Source organism: Homo sapiens, chromosome 1, assembly GCF_000001405.40.
Source record: "Homo sapiens chromosome 1, GRCh38.p14 Primary Assembly".
NCBI lineage: Eukaryota > Metazoa > Chordata > Mammalia > Primates > Hominidae > Homo > Homo sapiens.
The window spans coordinates 68,518,481-68,538,920 of NC_000001.11; the positions used below are offsets into that span (position 1 = coordinate 68,518,481).

The window sequence follows — 20,440 nt, forward strand, 5'->3', positions numbered from 1 at the left end:
TTCAGTTGTATTTACCATAATGTATTCTATCTACATACATTAAGAATGCATGAGAGAATGTTACAATTTTTGCTTTAAAAGATCAAACACACTTTAAACAACTACAGAAGACAAGAAGACTTTGTTATATTTACTGAGATGCTTAACATTTCTGTTGTTCTTCCTTCATTCTCCATGCTACAGGCATCTTTTGGGTATTATTTTCCTTTTGTCTGAAGAAGTTCCTTTAATGATTCTTTTAGAACAGATCTGCTGGCAACACATTTTTTAGTTTATTATCCATCTGAGAATATTTTATCTTAATTCCTAAAAGACATTTTCTCTGAATATGGAATTCTGGGTTGAAATTATTTTCTTTCAGCACTTTATAAATGTTGTTTCACTTCCTTCTGGCCTCAATGAGACAGCTGCAGTCATTAGAATAAATGTTTCCCTATAAGTAATACATCATTTTTCTTTGGCTTTTTTCATGATACTTTCTTTGTCTTTAGTTTTCAGCAGTTGGAATAGGATGGCTCTGGGCATGATTTTGTTGTTGTTGTTGTTATTTTTCTGTTTGGGTTTGCTGAATTTTTTGAATCTGTAGCTTAATGTCTTTTCTTCACATTTGGGTTATTTTCAGCCCTTATTTCTTCAAGGTTTTTAAAATTAACATATTCTTTCTTGTCTCTGTGACTAAAATAACAGAATATTAGCTCTTTCATTATCGCACCACATGTTCCTGAGGTTTCTCAATCATTTTTCCCCTGCTTTTCAGATCATATACCATAGTTCCCCCTTATTCTCAGGGGTTACGTTCCAAGACCCCTCATGGATATTTGAAAGGCAGACAGTATCAAACCCTGTATAGACTATGTGCACATTTCCTTTTCCTTCTTTACAATTTCACAAATAGAACATTCATTCTTACTGTAATCTTAGTAATCTCGGCATATGATTTATTTCATTTCTTTATTAAATTGAAAACTTTCACCTTATTAAATCAAGTTTAGCCTAAAGCTGCATCCTTATATAATCTAAGTTCAGCCTAAAGGGTTCTCTGTACATTGTGAACTATAACAAGTGGAGATGTAACAGACCATAGCCTATACTTGTGCCAATCACCGAGCTTTGGCCAATCAAATGTAGCCAGCTATTCAAACCATGTTCAAATAAGGCAAACACCAACAGTAACTGATCCAGCTGTTTCTGCACCTCACTTCCGATTTCTGTAAGTTACTTTCCTTTTTCTGTTCATAAATCTTCTTCCACCACATGGCTATGCTGAAGTCTCTGAGCATACCCTGGCTTGGGATGCTTTCCAATTTGTAAAGCATTCATTGCTCAATTAAACTCTTCCAAATTTAATTCAACTGAAGTTTTTATCAACCTTTTCACTTAAAAGAAGCACCTGATGGCTTCTCTTTTGCATATCCGAATTGCCGGCATTACTACTTGTACCTTGGGAACAATAGTAAATAAATAAGGGTTACTTGAATACAAGCTCTGCTATACCACAACAGTTGATGTGACAACAATTATGGCCACTAAGAGACTAATGGACACGTAGAATACACAGTGTGGATATGCTTTGAGAAAGGGATGATTTCATGTCCTGAGTGGGACAAAGTGGGATGGTGTGAGATTTCATCATGCTACTCAGAACCACACATGTTTTAAAAGTTGTGTATTGTTTCTTCTGGTATTTCTATTTAATATTTCAGATTGCAGTTGACCATGGGTAAGCAAAACCTTGCATAAGGGGGGACGATGATAATTTCTATTGTTCTATCTTCAGTAGTTTTTTTTTTTGTCCTCTCTATTCTGCTACTGAGCCCAACTAGTAAGATTTAAAATTTGTTATTGCATCTTTTAGTTCTAAAATATCCATCTAGTTCTTCTTTATATTTTCTATAATCATTCCTCCCTATCTGCAGAAGATTGGTTAAGATCCCCCTGTGGATACCAAAATCTGTGCATACTCAAGTTCCACAGTCAGCCCTGTGGGACCCTCAGATACAAAAAGGTGGCCTTTGTATGCTCAAGTTTCACATTCCATGAATATTGTACTTTCAATTCATGTTTGACTGTGGATATGGAATCTGCCAATACAGAGAGCTGACTGTATTTATTGAAAAATATCCACTGTGTGGACTCATGCAGTTCAATCTTTTGTTGTTCAAATATCAACTGTATTTTATTTCAAGATTTCAAGATTTTGTATCTGCACTCTTTCCTGTACTTTCCTGTTTCCTGGGGCTCCCCTCATTAGTCCTCTTACTGTATCTTTATTACTCCACTCTGACACGCACTTCTTGTGACTCTCTCCACATCTGGTACAAAGCAACAAGATAATAAGAGTGTGTTAGTACATGTTCTCACTGTTATAAAGAACTGCCTGAGACTGGGTAATTTATAAAGAAAAGAGGTTTAATTGACTCACAGATCTGCATGGCTGGGGAGGTGTCAGGAAACTTACAATTCTGGTGGAAGGGGAAGCAGGCATGTCCTACAGGGTGGCAGGTGAGAGAGAAGACCAAAGGAGGAACTTCCAAACACATATAAAATCATCAGATCTCTTGAGAACTCACTGACTGTCATGCGAACAGCATGGGGGAAACCATCCCTGTGATCCAATCACCTCCCTCCCTTGACCTGTGGCATTACAGGTCCCTCCCTAGACACGTGGGGATTACAATTCAATATGAAATTTGGATGGGGACACAGGGCCAAACCATTTCAAAGAGGGTGGGGAAAAATTACCTTACTTCCTTTAATTACAGCTCCTGTGACTGGAAATGAAAGTTTTCCTCCCTTAGAGTTTTCAGCCCTTGTACCTCCCAATGCTACCTCAGTCATGGTCTTTGAGCCACTGTTGGATTGCTTGGGGGCAGGGACATGAGAGAATGGAGAACAAGAAAGAAAAATGGAGTTCCTGCATTCTCTGAGTGTTGGGAGATTGCTTTTCCACTCCTTGAGCTTCTTAAGCCAGAACTGGAGGAATTCTCCTGGCACTTTATCTGTTTACAATCAAATTCTATTTCCAGATTTCCTGCTGAATTGAGTCCAGGACAGGAGATGCTAGAGTAAAATAAAAGTTAAAACTCACTGCCCTTTCAGTGGTACTTTGATATCTGATTTTCTTCCCAGTCTCCTTGCCACTTACTTTTCAGAGTTCTCAAACAGCTGCTGGATGCATCTGTTCAGGTTTTATACCTGTATTAGGTACAATAGTGAATTACTAATAAATAGTTCCTTGATTATTGAGTGAGAGGATATCATAACTTATCAAATAAAGAATTTTTAAATGAATTTTTTGCCAATAATTTTTTATGAGGGAAAATTGAATTTCTCTCTTGTAAAATTCCTTTTCTAGATATTAAGATAATTGTTCTTTGTTATTCTGAAAGAAATAATCTTCACATTGCTGTTTAGTTCTCATAGTATTTGCTGCAGGCTCAGTATGTAATTGATTTTTTAAATATTTTTACATTTTTCTACATTCTTATTTGTAGATCTTTGTATTCAAATAATTCAAAATTTAAAAAAGCTTCAGTGTTTCTGCAGAAATAATAAAACTGTTACACTATGTAGCAAAAATAATAACCACAGTACAAAAATACCCTATCAATTAAATCATCCCAACCATTTTAGTAGTGTTTGTTCTTTAAAAAATTTAAATATAATATATAACATTTTGTGTGTTACTACACTTGTTTCCTTTTTCCTTAAAATTAATAGGTTCATTTTTATACTTGAAAATAAATTTAAAAATAAAATTATTCACAATGAAATTCTTGGATAATCAGACACAAGGACTAAAAATCTTTTTTAGTCTTATATTAAGAGAAGTTATTTATAACTGAAAAACTACTATTCAAGGCATATGTTAACTATTAAAAAATAGAGGGGAAAAATAAAGTGTTCATATGTACCAAATAATGATCAAAATGCTAACTTATTCATAGGTTGTCTCTTCATAAAACATGGTTATGGTACAGTTACAAGCAATTGCAATGGGGTTATATTGCAGTTGGCACTTTAAAGCTCATGAACTTTTAATGTAATTCTATCTTCACTGCACACTGGAGAATTTAGACATTGGGTTTCAGTTATTAGAAGTAATTCTAAATATAGGAAACATGGTATCATGGACACTATAAAATGAACTGCTAGACTCTGAGAATCAGGCTTGGATAGAAATGGGTCTAGCATATTTGCCTTTCTCTGTCACCATAATGAAAATGTATTTAGGTTGGATGTCTACTTCCTAGAAGCCTAAGCTTCTAATAGGCATACATTTCCTAGGGGCCATAACATCAATCCTTTTTAAGATTCTTTAGGAGTGCCTATCAAGAAATGACAAATTTCTTAAAAGAAATCTAGTTTAAAAACTAGATATTTTTGACTCTTTTGTAAGTCATCACTCCTATCTAAGTGCTCTTTCATTACTTCAATAAATATTCGTTGACTGCCTACTATGTTCTGGTAACTTTGTTAGATCTGGGTCTATATTAGTCAGGAAAATACAGTTTCACTCCAAGTTACAGTCTAGCAAGAAATACAAGCCAATAAAATAAGGTTTAATTGTTGCTCTGATAAAAGAGGTATACGATTTGTGGAGGTATATTGGAGGGACATTTAGCTCAAAGAAGGCCTAGGATAATATTCAACACCAAGTATGAATCAACCACGTGAAGAGGTGTTAGAAACGCTTTTTGCCTTGTGAGAAACTCTGTATAAGGGCCTCCCCTGAGACTTGTAGCCTGTAAATCGTGATGCTTTATGGTCCCACTTCAAGGTTATTTTGTCTCTTCTAAAGAGTGAGTGCCCAGCAAAATTTATACTTTTTCTCTACGTTAAATAATGCTGAGGTTCTAATTAATACAAAATTCTGATCAGATACAAATGAATAAAAACAGTGATCAATCATAAAGAAACGTTAATGTTCTCATACATTGCTGTCAACTACTAATAAATAATTTTATATGTATATTGTCTCCTAGGCCAATCATATTACAATGCTTCTTGATGGCATCTGTTAACAGCTTACCTTCACTGTTATCTTGTCTGACAGCAGATCCATTTATATATTTGCTTGTCTTACCATTTTATTTCCAGTTTCCTTCCACATTTCTTATTCTTTAGGGATCATTCTGCCCTTGTGAAATATAAATACCATCTCTGTTAAATTCATTACTCATTTTATCCTCACTTTTCCAGACAAATCACCATGGCTTTGAAGTGTAGAATATATTATTTTAATTTCTCTGCTAGCTTGCTCTCAGATAACTTTTGTTTTCTTTTCCTCCTCTTGTCATTGGAAGTTACATTTCTGAGTGCATGCCTTCAAGTTAATTTCTGAATATTCTTCTATAGCATAGTAAGAGAAAAACAATCTTGTTTGGCTGGCCAATGGTGATGAATGGAGTGTAGACCAGCCTATAGAGTCCAAAGCCTTCAAGAGAGAAAGAGCAAGAATGAAAGGTGGTGGTATAACTAAATATTTTTGTAATCATGGACAAAATGATTTGGGATCATGATAATTTACTTCAGGTTATTTGCAGGTGAACTTCAGACTTCTGTGAGTGACAGCACATGGGGTCCTAGATGCTCTGATGGAGAACCTGGGTGTTACAAAATGTATGAGTAGGTGGGCTTCTATTAAATGGAGTACTTAAAGAAGAACTACTCAAGTTGCCCAGGTTGTGCTTGAATGGACACAGTCTCAAGAATGCAGTGAGCTCGAGTGTTAATATATGCCAATGACAGTCCAATGACTGTAGTTTCCATGAAAGGCCATATTGTGTCTATCAATAAATGCTGTAGAATAAGTGAAGAAATATGACATGAACTGCAATACTCTGCTCTTTCACAAAAGGCAACCTTATCTGCCACTTTAGAGAGAGTGAGATTGTACTATCATACAAAAGAAAATAAAGATTGTACCTCTATAGGTTCTTTATGTGTATTTGTGGTTGAGTGGGTAGTTTAGGGGCAATTTTGGAGAGGTAAATACTTTGGATAGCATTTGACTCCTATATACATGGAATATTTTACAGAACATTATAATCTAAGGAGATTTGTCAACTTTAAAATCAAGAGGTCATAAGGAATTATAAAGAGCTAAATTTACGTTGCATTTATTACCATGAAACCATCTATTACTAACAGAAAGCAGTAAGTAAGAATACTCTATAATTAATGGTCTAAAACTGAAAATGATGGACTAGCTTTTTCACTGAAAGCAATTTCTATTCTGTTACTCAATTACTCAGTTGCTTAATTTTAAGATTTTATTATGTCTTTAAATCATGATTAATACAGGAAATATGATGCTTTTCTACTTCCTAACCACTGCTTATCCAAGCATCCACAATCTTTTATAATACTGTTTTGTACTACCATATTTATTTTAAAATGAAAAGTACTGGATTTTTTATTATAGTGACAGAATCTTACTGTGGTAGTTGAATAAAGCAACATTTACTTAGGTCAAAGAATTAGAATATTAATATACATTGATATTGAGATGTACATATTTTTGAAAAATTTAATGACAGCAATACTAAAGAATTAGAAATAATTTTTACAATCATAAGTTCAATGTTCTAGAAAATTCATATTGAAAATTGCTTAATATTTTTATTATGAGGTTTTTAGGAACATTTTCTTGTTGATAATATAAAATATAGCAAAGAGAACTCAGAGATTCAGAATTTCCCAGGATCACATCCCTGACTTAATGCAATTCAATTCAAAAGACATATGCAGACATACAGCTCTAAGAAATATGTGTGATCTGGTAGTTGTCTGTAAAGAATGCACACTTTAACAAAAAAGGTGGGATAACTTCAATACAATGCTGTGTTTGGTGCTTTGATAATGGCATGAACAGCATTCACATAAGAGGAAACTTAACATTAGCTGGATGGAACATGATATTTTTCTAGGACCAGCTTCCTGGCTTATAAAAGAGCACAGTTTAGGGCTCTTCACTATATACTCTCTAAAATCCAGAATAATATTGAGGAATAACTGGTGTACCCTGGGAGATAAGAGTGCTTACCCTGGAAGTTTGGGTGGTTTGGAAGGCACTGGCAGATGCCTTCATGCCACAGAAGTAACTCCAGAATAGGGCACCATGATTATAATTGAGGGACTGCAATGCTAACCAACCCCATGGTGACATGGTGACTCAGCATCTCTATAATGTTCTTGTTGAGGTAGGACCCTCAGATAGGTACTCTTGTGGAGATAGTGAACCTCTCCTCTTCACCTTCCTTCCCATTACTTCAGTCTCCCAAAGACAAGGAAAAGTGAATCTGGTACAATGAAGCAGTGAGAGTAGAGAACCTAAGAAAAAATAGAGATGATATATTAATCAACTAAGAATTATGTTATGACATGTGTATACTCAGTTTTACCTGTGCCAAATGCGGAGGAACTCCCTAGATGCCAGGGAGATGAGTTTTAGAGAAACGGTGAGGAGAAGAGCTCCTCTTACAGCAGCAGCAGAAGAAGGCATGCTGGTATTGGGCTCTCTAATCCAGCAAGGTTTACCTCACTGGCCTGGGGGTAGCAAACAAAGTGTCTATCTTGATGTTTACCTAGAGTTATAGGCACAAGTACTGGACTTGTGTGTTGAAAGGGTGTACCATGGCCTAGTTCCAATCAGGTATCAGGTAAAGTTGGAGAGAGTAACCTGGGCTTCTTAGGACCAAAATGAAGATTAAAAAAAAAAATTCTTTTTTTAAAGGGGCCTTGTCTCAGGCATGGATTTTCCTAAAACTGGGAGGTTTGGTTCTCTATAAACTCCAACTTCCTGGAAATAATACTTTGTATATCCTAGAATAATAGTATAAGGCATCCTGAAAAATGTGACTCTGAAGGCATTGACCGATTGTTGCTGGTGGTGAAAGTAGGTGCTGTGGAACATTCTAGATGTATAATATTTAATCAAGTTATTGGAGAGGTCAAAAAATTACACAAGGGCACAGGTGTAGTTTGGCTTGGTGCTAATGGGCAAGTGGAAGTTCACATTGATATTTATCTTACAATATTTTTGACTTTTGTACCATCAACTTGAATGAAAATTATTATAATTAGAAATAAGCACATGATAATATAAAACATGTAAAAAGTACAGAAGAACTCTAGGGAAAGGAGATTGCTGATGAAGCTAGAATTAAGAAAAATTTCTTATAGAAGGTTAATCCTTTCTGGAGGGTTGTAATAGATGCAGATTGACGTCTGTGTTTTAATTTGTATTGAGCAGCTCATTTAACCTTGTCAAAGGCTTTTCACCTTGAGCATCTCACTTTATCTAGACAAAATTTCAATAGCAGTTACCATAATAATTGGAGTAATAAAGAAACTAAGCCATAAAGAAGTTAAATATCATCTAAGGATACATTTGATTAGCTGGATATCTGAGACTTGAGGCCAAATCCCCAGTGTTCTGGTCCATAGGATGTCTTCTCTTTCCTATTTTATCCCTGATAATGTAAGTAACAAGGAATAGACTAGAAAAATATGGATAATTCTAATAATTTTGCTATTAATTTAAAAGCACAAATTAGTTAAGCTATTACAGTAATTACACAAAACCCAATTATGACCAAATCCCAAGAAGTTAAGGAAAAATGAATTCTTATCAAAGATCAGGTCAACTTGGTCCTTGGTCAGATAAAGTATACTAAGCAAGTGTTTTCCTTTTTTTTTTTTTTTTTTTAAGACAGAGTCTCACTCTGTCACCCAGGCTGTAGTGGTGCAGTGGTGTGAACTCGGCTCACTGCAATCTTGGCTTCCTGAGTTCAAGCGATTCTCTTGCCTCAGCCTCCTGAGTAGCTGGCACCACAGGTGCAAGACACCATTCCCGGCTAATTTTTGTGTTTTTAATAAAGATGGGGGTTTCACCATGTTGGCCAGTCTGGTCTTGAACTCCTGACCTCAAGTGATCCACCTGTCTCGGCCTACCAAAGTGCTAGGATTACAGAAGTGAGCCACCACGCCTGGCCTGCAAGTGCCTTTTCTTAAGGCAATGCAATATCAGCTTTTTAAACTTCTCCTCATGAAACTCCATATAGACAATTTGTTTTGTTGACCAGCAGCCAGATCTAAGTGATGTGTTGAGGTGTTTTCCCCATCCTTTTGCCATGATGTGTCTGGAAATAGAACCGGATGTGATGCTGTGGTCCTGGGCTCTCATTTCTGAGGCCAGGAAGTGTTAGAGAGGGGTTAGGTTATTAGCGATTAACTCTAGGTGTTTCTCAAAAGCAAGGAGGGAGCTTTGCCCACCACTAATTCTTCCACATGTGGTTATTGCCTATCATAAGTTACTACTTCTAGGCTAATTAAAAATGGCTTGTATGCCAAGCAAAATTACTGTCACATTTCACACTTTATTCTCCTTCTGGTTTGTTTTCTTTAGGATTTCAAAATTAGAAATCCCTTCTTGAATTACAGTCTTTTCTTCTTTCTCCCCATATCCTCCCACACTTTTGCTTCTTTTGAGTTTGTACTTCATCTTTGGCTCCAGATATTTTAATTACTAGATAACAAGTATTATAATTTTAGAAAATAGAGATAAAAGATACAGTTTCAGCCATCAAGGAGCTCACAGTCTAGCATGACTGGCAAGAAAGGAATCAGAAAATGACAATACTGTGTGGCAAAAGTTATGTTAGAAATTATTGCTGGTTCCATGTCTCTTTTTAGTAGTATGATCTTGGTTAACCATATAAAACACAAGCAGAGATTTGAGACTAAGTAGAAAAAGCCCCAGTGTATTAAGTTTCTATTGCTACATAACAAATTACCCCAGAATTCAGTGGCCTAAAAAACCATTTATTAGTTGGCATTTTCTGTGGGCCAGGAATTTGGACCTGAATTAGCTGGGTCCTCTGACTAACAATGCTTTCATCAACCTTGAGGCTGTAGTCATCACAAGGTTTGTCTGGGCTGGATCTGCTCCCAGGCATACTCAGGTAGTTGTTGGCAAGATTCAGTTCCTTGCGAGTTCTTGGACTGAAGGCCTTAGTTCTTTGCTGCTATTGTTTGGAGGCTGCCTTCAGCTTTTATCAGGTGTGCCTCTCCGTAGGGCGGCCCACAACAGGGCAGCTGGCTTCATCCAGGTGAGCAAGTATAAGTATGCAAGAGAGAGTGCAAGCAAGCAAGGAGTCATAGTTTTCTAACCTAATCTCAGAAGTGTCATCCATCACGTTTACCATATTCTATTTGTTAGAAGCAAGTCACTAGGTTCAGCCTATACTCAAAAAATAAGACATCACCCAAGGGAATAAATAACAGGAGGTAAGGATCACTGGGGGCCATTTTGGAAGCTGCCTATCACACCCAGAATAAAAAAATCTATCAAAATATCCTTAAACTTTTTCTAAAAGAAGATAAGAGCGTATTTTTCAGGCCTAAAAGTAGCTTATAGTTAATTATTGAATTGACAAATTATCTAATTTCTCCTTAGGTGCAGAATGTACCAGATTGTATGCAGCCAAAAGGGTTAAACAAAACTGAAGCATGAAGAGGTGCAAAGCACCTCGCATTTATTAGGTCTATATACAAGAAACTGTGTTGGCTGCCTCCATACACTTTGTTTCAGTTAACCTTCAAAAAATGTTGCATGAAATAGGGAGGCAGCCTATCTTAGTGGCAGGGCTGTTTCACAGAGCTATACAGGTTGTACCCTGAAGAACAACAAAGCCATCTCTGACAGTGTGAGCAATACATCTTGGATTTTCCTCTTAGTGGCCCATGTTTCCTTGGGTCTGGAATCAGTACTTTTTTACTAGTGCTGTGACCTTCACAAGTTGCTTAACATCTCTAAGCCTTAGTTTCTTCATTTCTAGGATAAGGAAGTCATAATATTAATGAACTCTGAGGACTGCTATGAGGATAAAATGGGATCATCATCATCATCATCATCACTTACTCAATGCGTACTACAATCCTGGCACTCCTCTAAGTGTTACAAATATATTAACTCCAACAATAACTCCAGAAGGTAGGTATTTTTATGATCTCATTTTTACCAATGAGGAAAATAAGACATGGAAAGTCAAATAATCTGTATATGGTCACAGAGATAGGAAGTGGTCTGACTCCAAAGTCTGAGTTTTTAATCTCACTATACTATTTCTCATCATTGTGGAGTCGATGCTGTGGTACAATATCTGACAATTAGTACATATTAAATATTAGCTTTTAATTCTATACCCATTTTACTAATAGGAAAACAAAGAATTATAAGTGGTTAATAACTTACCTAAAGAGTAATCCTGACCTTAAATAAGCGACCCAAGATTTTAAACCACATATGGCTGGATTCAAAGCACATGGCATTCTTAGTTTTGCTTTATTTTATACAGAATGATTATGCCAATCATGATGTGATCTTTGTCTAAAGGTAAACAGCTCTACATGACTCGCCCCTCAGGGCATTGCTACATTGTAGTGCAATGCAAACCCTGAAGTTTATAATAATGATTCAAGACCATCAAGAAAAAGATAAATTTTATAAATTTTATATAATATACTTTTATATAATATACTTTCTGTAAGAAGGACTGAAAGTGTATGACATATTTTAGATTTCCTTCAAATTAAAATAAAGTCAGTTCACTCATATAGTGGGTAAGCTTCAGCTACCTGAAAAATTGATCGATGTTGAGTACCTTATTCCTGGGCGATATCAGTGAAATGAAGTGTGGCTATATAAAATGAGGGATAGTGAATGCAATAGCTTTGGATATTTAGTTACAAAATGAACCACAACAGTCTTAATTCAGTTTCTGCATCAAACTGTGAACAGAGAATGTTCTGCAACCCATGAAAATAATCATGTTTAAAGAATGTGATCTACAAAATGTGTTCAATTTTTAAAAAGCCATATATATCCATCTAACTATACCTTTTCCATATACATACATCTGATGAAATTATCAATTATGCACTTTTCTTTATGCAGCTGTTATCAAATAATAGAAAATAGAGCTGTTAAATGAAGTGTTATTTTGTAAACAAAACAAGCATTTTACCTGTGAAAACATATGAACCACCAGCAAAGGAATGTGATATTATAAATTCATTATTTTCAGCCTAAATGGGGCTGTCAACACTAGTTAGTTGAGGTAAAAAAGAAGTCTTTAATATCTCTGTAATGATCATGCTAGCCTCATCTTACAAAATATCTAAATTAACCTCTCTTGATTTTCCACCCATCTTCCTGGCTTCTCTGCTTTAAGTGTTTTTTGGAGTTTGTCTTTCTTTTTACTTTATTCATGTCCTGATGATAATATTTAGTTTCACACTGTTGAAAATGTTCAGGTGCTGATTTGTTGGCATGCACACTGGAGTGCAGACGCTGCTGCCACTGCCTCAATGGAAAGCTTTGGCTGGCACCTCCCATTGGAGTGTTTTTGTCAGCAGACCAGGAATACCTCAGCCCCTCCAGTGCAGCAGGTGCTTAACCTTGAGGGGCCAAAGAACAAAGCACTGGGCCTAATACCAGTTCCCTAGGGCTAGAGCATGCAGCCCAGGAGTGCTGAGGTGAGTCTTGAGCCCCTGAAAATCTATCAGAAACAAAGCCAGTCAACTGAAGTTAGCTTATACCACAGTCAAATCCTCAAGGGCCTTAAATAATGTAAAAGCAAAAAAAACCCACCCAAAGGGCAGCAACTTCAAAGATTAAAGGAACATGAGGCTACACAGATGAGAAAGAACCAGCACAAGAACTCTGGCAACTCAAAAAGCCAGAGTATCTTCTTACTTCCAGGTGATTGCACTAGTTCCTTGGCTATGGCTCTTAACCAGGCTGAGATGGCTGAAATGACAGACATAGAATTCAGGATTTGGATAGAAACAATGATCATCAAGATTAAGGAGAAAGTCAAAACCCAATTTAAGGAATCTAGGGAAACTGATAAAATGATACAAGAGCTGAAATACAAAATAGCCATTTTAAGAAAGAACCAAACTGATCTGATGGAGCTGAAAAACTCACTATATGAATTTCAGAATACAATCACAAATATTAATAGCAGTATAGACCAAAGTGAGGAAAGAATCTGAGAGCTCAAACACTGGTTCTTCAAATCAACTCAGTCAGACAAAAATAAAGAAAAAAGAGTAAAAAGAATCAACAAAACCACTGAGAAAGATGGAATTATGTAAAGAGACTAAATGTGTGACTTATTGGTATCCCTCAAAGAGAGGAACAGAAAGAAAATTTCCTCAACTTTTCTAGAGAATTTGACAAATTTAGGAAATGTAGAGAATCCCTGTGAGATACTACACAAGACAACCATCCCCAAGACACATAGTCATCAGATTCTCCAAGGTCAATGTGAAAGAAAAAATAAAAGCAGCTAAAGAGATGGGGCAGGTCACCTGCAAGGAAACCCCATCAGGCTAACAATGGACCTTTCAGCAGAAACTCTACAAGCCAGAGGAGACTGAGGGTCTATATTCAGCATTCTTAAAAAAAGAAATTCTAACCAAGAATTTTGTATTCAGCCAAATTAAGCCTTATAAGCAAAAGAGAAATAACTTTCTTTTTAGACAAGCAAATGCTAAGAGAATTTGTTACCACCAGACCAGCCTTACAAGAGGTTCTTAAGGGAGTGCTAAACATGGAAATGAAAGACTGTTGCTGGCCATCACAAAAGCACACTTAAGTACACAGACTGTTGACACTATAAAGCAACTTTACAATCAAGTCTGCATAACAACCAGCTAACAACATGATGACAGGACCGAATCCACACATATCAATAATAGCCTTGAATGTAAATGAGCTAAATATCCCAATTAAAAGGCACAGAGTAGCAAGCTAGATAAAGAAGGAAGATCCAATTTTATGCTGTCTTCAAGAGACCCATCTCACATGCAATGACACCCATAGGCTCAAAGTAAAGAGATGGAGCTAATTTCAGACAAACAGACTTTAAATCAACAACAATCAGGAAAGACAAAGAAGGTTATTACATAATGATAAAGGGTTTAATTCAACAAGAAGACTTAGTTATTCTAAATATATATGCACCAGACACTGAAGCATCCAGATTCATTTAAAAAAGTTATTAGATGCCTATGAAGAGACTTAGAGACTTAGATAATCACAGAATAAGTGTGGGAGACTTCAACACCTCACTGACAGAACTAGATAGATCATCATGACGGAAGACTAACAAAGATATTCAGGACCTGAATTCAACACTTGACCACATGGATCTAACAGATATCTACAGAACACTCCACAGAACAACCATAGAATATACATCCTTCTCATTTGCACGTGGCACATACTCTAAAACTGCTCACACAGTCACCCATAAAATAATTCTCAACAAATTAAAAAAACCCAAAATCATAACAACCACACTCTTGGACCACAGTGCAATAAAAAGAGAAGTCAATACCTAGAATATCTCTCAAAATCATACAATTACATTGAAATTAACCTACTCTTGGATGACTTTTGGGTAAACAGTTAAATGAAGGCAGAAATCAAGACATTATTTGAAACTAATGAAAACAAAGATACAACATATAAGAATCTCTGGGATGGGCCAGGTGTGGTGGCTCATGCCTGTAATCCCAGCACTTTGGGAGTCCAAGGTGGGCAGATCACTTGAGGCCAGGAGTTTGAGACTAGCCAGGGCAACATGGTGAAAGTCTATCTCTACTAAAAATACAAAAATTAACTGGGTGTGGTGGCGCATGCCTGTAATCCCAGCTACTTGAGAGGCTGGGGCATGAGAATTTCTTGCAAAGGTTGCAGTGAGCTGAGATCACACCACTGCATTTCAGTCTGGGTGACCGATCGTGACTCTGTCTAAAAAAATAAGAAAGGAAAAAAAAAAAAATCCCTGGGACACAGCTAAAACAGTATTAATAGAAAAGTTAAGAGCAATCCCAAACTAACAACCTAACACCACACCTAGAGAAACTAGAAAAACAAGACAAATCAACTTTAAAGCTAGCTAGAAGAAAAGAAATAACAAACATCAGAGCTAAATTGAAAAAAGATCTAAATAAACACTATTAGAAATGACAAAGGGGACATTACTGTCAAACCCCACAGAAATAAGAAAAAAAAACCCTCAGTTACTGTTACAAACACCACTTTGCACACAAACTAGAAAACTTAGAAGAAATGAATAAGTCCCTGGAAACATACAACCTCCAAAGATTGAACCAGGAGGAAATTGACAGCCCGAACAGACCAATAACAAGTTCTGAAATTGAATCAGTAATGAAAATCATACCAACACAAAAAGCCCTGAACCAGACAGATTCACAGCTGAATTCTACCAGATGTATAAAGAAGAGCTGGTGCCAATCCTACTAAAAATATTCCAAAAAATTGAGGAGGAAGGACTCTTTCCTAACTCATTCTATGAGCTCAGCATCATTCTGATACCAAAACCTGGCAAAGACACAACAACTACAACAAAAGAAAACTTGGGGCCAATATATTTGAGGAACATAAGTACAAAAATCCTCAACAAAATACTAGCAAATAAAATCCAGCAGCATATCAAAAAGATAATCCACCGTGATCAAGTAGGCTTTATTCCTGGGATGCAAAGTTGCTTTAATATACAAAAATCAATAAATGTGATTCACCACATAAACAGAAAGAAAAACCAAAATCACATGATTATCTCAATAGATGAAGAAAAGGCTTTCTATAAAATTCTAGATCCCTTCATGTTAAAAACTCTCAACAAACTAGGCATTGAAGGAATATACCTCAAAATAGTAAGAACCATCTATGACAAACCCGCAGCCAATATCATATTGAATGGGCAAAAGCTGGAAGCATTTATCTTAGAACCGGAAAAGACAAGGATGCCCATTCTCACCACTCCTATTCAGCATAGTACTGGAAGTCCTAGACAGAACAATCAGGCAAGAGAAAAAAATAAAATTATCCAAATAAGAAAAAAGGAAGTTAAATTATCTTTGTTCATCAATGACATGATTGTATACTTAGTAAACCTAAAGACCCTCCAAAAGACTCCTATTCCTGACAAACAACTTTAGTAAAGTTTCAGGATACAAAAATCAGTAGCATTCCTTTACACCAACAATATGCAAGCTGAGAGCCAAATCAAGAATGCAATCCCATTCACAATAGCCACAAAAAATAAAGTACCCAGGAATACAGCTAACTAATGCGGTGAAAGATTGCTACAATGAGAATTATAAAATACTGCCAAAAGAAATCAGAGACCACACACAAAAAATGGAAAAACATTTCATGCTCATGGATAGGTAGAATAAATATTGTTAAAATGGTCACACTGCACTAAGCAATTTACAGATTTCATGCTATTTCTAGCAAACTACTAATGACATTTTACACAGAATTAGAAAGAACTATTCTGAAATTCATATGGAACCAAAAAAATCCTGAATAGCCAATGCAATCCTAAGCAAAAAGGACAAAGCCAGAGGTACCACACTACCTGACTTCAAGTTACACTACAAGGCTACAGTAACCAAGACAGCATGGTACATGTACAAAAACAAACACAGACCGTTGCAACAGGTTAAAGAACCCAGAAATAAAGCCACATACCTACAACCATCTGATTTTCAACAAAGTCAACAGAAACAAGTAATGGAGAAAGGACTCCCTATTCAGTAAATGGTGCTGTGCTAACTGGCTAGTCATATGCAGATTATAGAAACTGGACCCCTTCCTTCATTATATGCAAAAATCAACTCAAGATAGATTAAAGACTTAAACGTAAATTCAAAAACCATATAAAGCCCTGGAAGAAAACCTAGGAAATATCATTCTGGACATAAACATTGGCAAAAATTTCATAATGAAGATGACAAAAGCAATTGCAACAAAAACAAAAATTGACAAGTGCAACTAATTAAATGAAAGATCTTCTGCATAGCAAAAGAAACTATCAAGAGTGAACAGATAACCTACAGACTGGTACAAAATATTTTCAAACTATGCATTCAACAAAGTTCTAATGTCCAGAATCTATAAGAAACTTAAACAAATCAACAAGCAAAAAAATAAGCAACCGCATTACAAAATGGGCAAAGGATGTGAACAGATACTTCCCAAAAGAATACATACACATATCCAGCAAGCATATGAAAAAATGCTCAACATCACTAATCATTGTAAAAATGCTAATAAAAACCACAATGAGATGCCATCTCAGACCAGTCAGATTAAAAAGGAAAAAAAAATAACAGATACTGGCAAGGTTGGGGAGAAAAGGGAATGCTTATACACTGCTGGTGGGAATATAAGCTAGTTCTGCCATGGTGGAATGCAGTTTGGAAATTTCTCAAAGAACTTAACAATTGACCCAGCAATCCCTTATGGGTTATATACCTAAAGGAAAGTAAATCATTCTACCATAAAGACACAAGCATGCGTATGTTCATTACAGCACTATTTACAGTAGCAAAGACATGGATTCAACCTAAATATACAATAATGGACTGGATAAAGAAAATGTGGTACCTAAAATCATAGAATACTACACATTCATAAAAAAGAATGAGATCATGTCCTTTGCAGAAACATGGGTGGAGCCAGAGACCATTATCCTCAGCGAATTAATGCAGGAACAGAAAACAAAATACTACATGTTCTCGCTTATAAGTAGGAGCTAAACATTGAGTATACAATCTAACAAAGCAACTAAGAAGGGAACAATAGGCACTGGGGCCTACATGAGGGTGGAAAGTGGGAGGAGAGTAAGTATCGAAAAACTACTTGTCCAGTAGTATGCTTAGTAGCTGGGTGACGAAATAATCTGTATACTACATCTCTGTGACACACAACTTACCTATATAACAAACCCACACATGCACCTCCTGAACCTAAAATAGAAGTTGGAAGAAAAAATAAAATAAAATGAATAAATTTCTCATGTCCTCTACTTCCCTTCCCTAAAACAAACCCAGTTAAGAAAAAAAAAAAAGAGAAATTGTTAAGAAGGTAGTTTAATAAATTGGATTCAGCATGTGGCCATTGTAGTCAGAACTATTTTAGATACCTGTTCTGTTAGGAAGTGAAGCAGAGTCCTTAAATTCTTTAAATTTTCACTTTCCTTCTAAGTAAAATGGGCCCAAAGTGGTTGGTTTTTCAGACCCACCTCGTAAGATTGTGCGAAAGATTAAATTATATAATTCATATAAAACTCTCAGTAAAGTACCAGTCAAGTAGTAAGAGATTAATAGATGTTAACTGTTATTGTTAATAATATTATATTTTGCTAATTGCATTATTTATCAATGTTATTATTTTGAAGAGCTGAGAGCTTCCAAGTCTGTACCTTTAGTTCAGATCCATTTTTTGGGGTCCAGGCCTGCTTCTATCTTTCAAAACAATGCATCTGCTTATCTCTATTTCTGTGACTGTTAGCTTTGCTCATGACTTGGCCTAAACTCTGGAAAAAGCAATGCCATTCACTCTGCCTAGTGGAATCATGAATAGGCTCTTTAATATTCCACGTTCTTTCAGTTATTGGAGCAATTCTGTTTCAATATTTAATCTTTACCCTTATATATTTTATGACTTTGGCCTCAAACTCCGTTTAAAGCTCTCTTTTCTCTTCAAAGGATAGTTAGAATTTTCATGTCTTCAGCAGCTGGAGTAGAGTTTCCCCCACCCTCCTTTATCTTCTAGGTGCTAGATCCTCTCTTAGGTTCAGGTGGAGAGGAAGGAGAGGGAACAGGCAAACTTCTCCTTTCTGAACTGGGAGTAGAAGTGGTTACTCGTTAACTGATGAGAAGTCTCTAGCTCACATTGGTCATTTCTGTCATGGAGCACAGGAGGGCCCTGGTCAAGTTTCCTGCTGATTATCTGATATAGGAGATCTAGCTTTGCTTTGGTATTGTCCTCCTTCTCGTCTTTCCCTTATTCCACAGCATCTTGCTGCTGGGGTCCCTCTTGGGAGAAGTTCCTGCAAGATAGCTCAAATTCAGCTACCTCTGAGGTGTCTGCTTGCCCCAGCTTTAAGTGTATAAGGGCAGTCCCACTGCTTCCCTCTCTTTTAGCCTTGTCTTCCTTATCTTTTCTCAGCTCACGGTGACCAAGGGGCAGATTAGTAGCCTGTTGGTTCCACAAGTATACAACTAGAGAACAAAATGCTCTTCTTTTCTTGCAGAAATCCTAGTATTGCATAAGTGATCTTCATGAAGCTTCCTATTCCCTGTGGAGTTTGGAAGGAGAGGCATTCCTGTAGGCTTCTGCTGAGAAGGGAAGAAGAGTCTTCCTGCTTGGACACTGGGCTTCTGAAAAGGCCATGTGCTCTCCTATCTCACAGTTTTCTTTCTTTTACTTTTTTTGTTTGTCTTTTTTCTCTTTTTTTATTCTTTTTTTCTTACCTCACAGTCTTGTATGTGTTTTGACTGTCACAAGAATGAGCATTGGACGTGGTAGAAAAAATTCTTGGATTAGTGCCTCTCATTAGTCCCTAAAAATACATATGTATCTGGCCCCAACTCCTGGTGACTCTCTAAGCTTATGATGCATTTTTTGGTATGTTTTGTATACAGTTTTGAGCTTCCGCAATGATTTTTAAAACAGGACAAAATCCCATATGAACCTTCTGTTATACTCCATTAAATTGTCAATACCAGAGATACAGGAAAATTATTTTCTCATTCTAACTTTATATACCCAATATCTAACAAAGCAGCTGCAAAATGGTTGCTACTCAATAAATATTTGTTGAATGAATGAAGGAATGAAAAGCCAAATGTAATACATAGAAAAGTTGATTATAAATTCTTTGGTACAAAATAGACAGACAAAACATAATCTAGGAAATATGCACCCTGAGAAATTGCTATCATCATCTTAATACCTTATAACAACGAAAGTTCTTAAACTGGTCCCCTTAATACCATTGTGTTTATTTTCTGTATGTTTATACTTTTATGCTTTGGTTTCATTTTCTACTTATTAGTTAAATGATTATGAGAACTGTGGGGATAAATTTAAAACATTACTGTGTTTCTATAGAGAGTTCTGCTGTAATGCAGTGATTATGAAATGATCTCAAATCTATTCAGAATTATTAAAAGGTACAGTTCAATAAATATTTTTATTTTTGTTAATTCTTCCCCAAATCACATTAAAACGATCCTTTTGCACTTAAGTGATTTCGTCAGTTTTGTATTCATTTTAAATGCCAGATTCTTTTTCTAAGATTCAAAGTTTCTGAAAACTTTATTTTTAAGCAATATATTCTGAGAAGACTTAAATCTAAATTCAATTGTTCAGATAAATATGAATACAATTTAATAAAAAGTACTGAATGCTGTGTTTTATAATTCCTTAGAAAATTTGGGAACATTACTAGGTTCCCAAGTAGATTGATAATACCTGAGAGATCAGCCGTGACCAACATTTAGTTACATTAACAGGAATACTTGATATGAGCAAATCCGT

The 20,440-nt window shown here is 35.9% G+C and overlaps 1 long non-coding RNA gene across 1 annotated transcript in view; it reads left to right on the forward strand.

Annotated features, from left to right (window-relative positions):
* DEPDC1-AS1 (DEPDC1 antisense RNA 1) overlaps nt 1-20,147 on the forward strand; it is a 41,952-nt gene extending 21,805 nt beyond the window's left edge. Inside the window, exons 2-3 of the long non-coding RNA NR_110671.1 lie at nt 10,845-10,999; nt 19,152-20,147. This is a non-coding gene — a long non-coding RNA (DEPDC1 antisense RNA 1). The remainder of the gene's footprint in view (nt 1-10,844; nt 11,000-19,151) is intronic.
* The last annotated feature ends 293 nt before the right edge of the window (nt 20,148-20,440 follow it).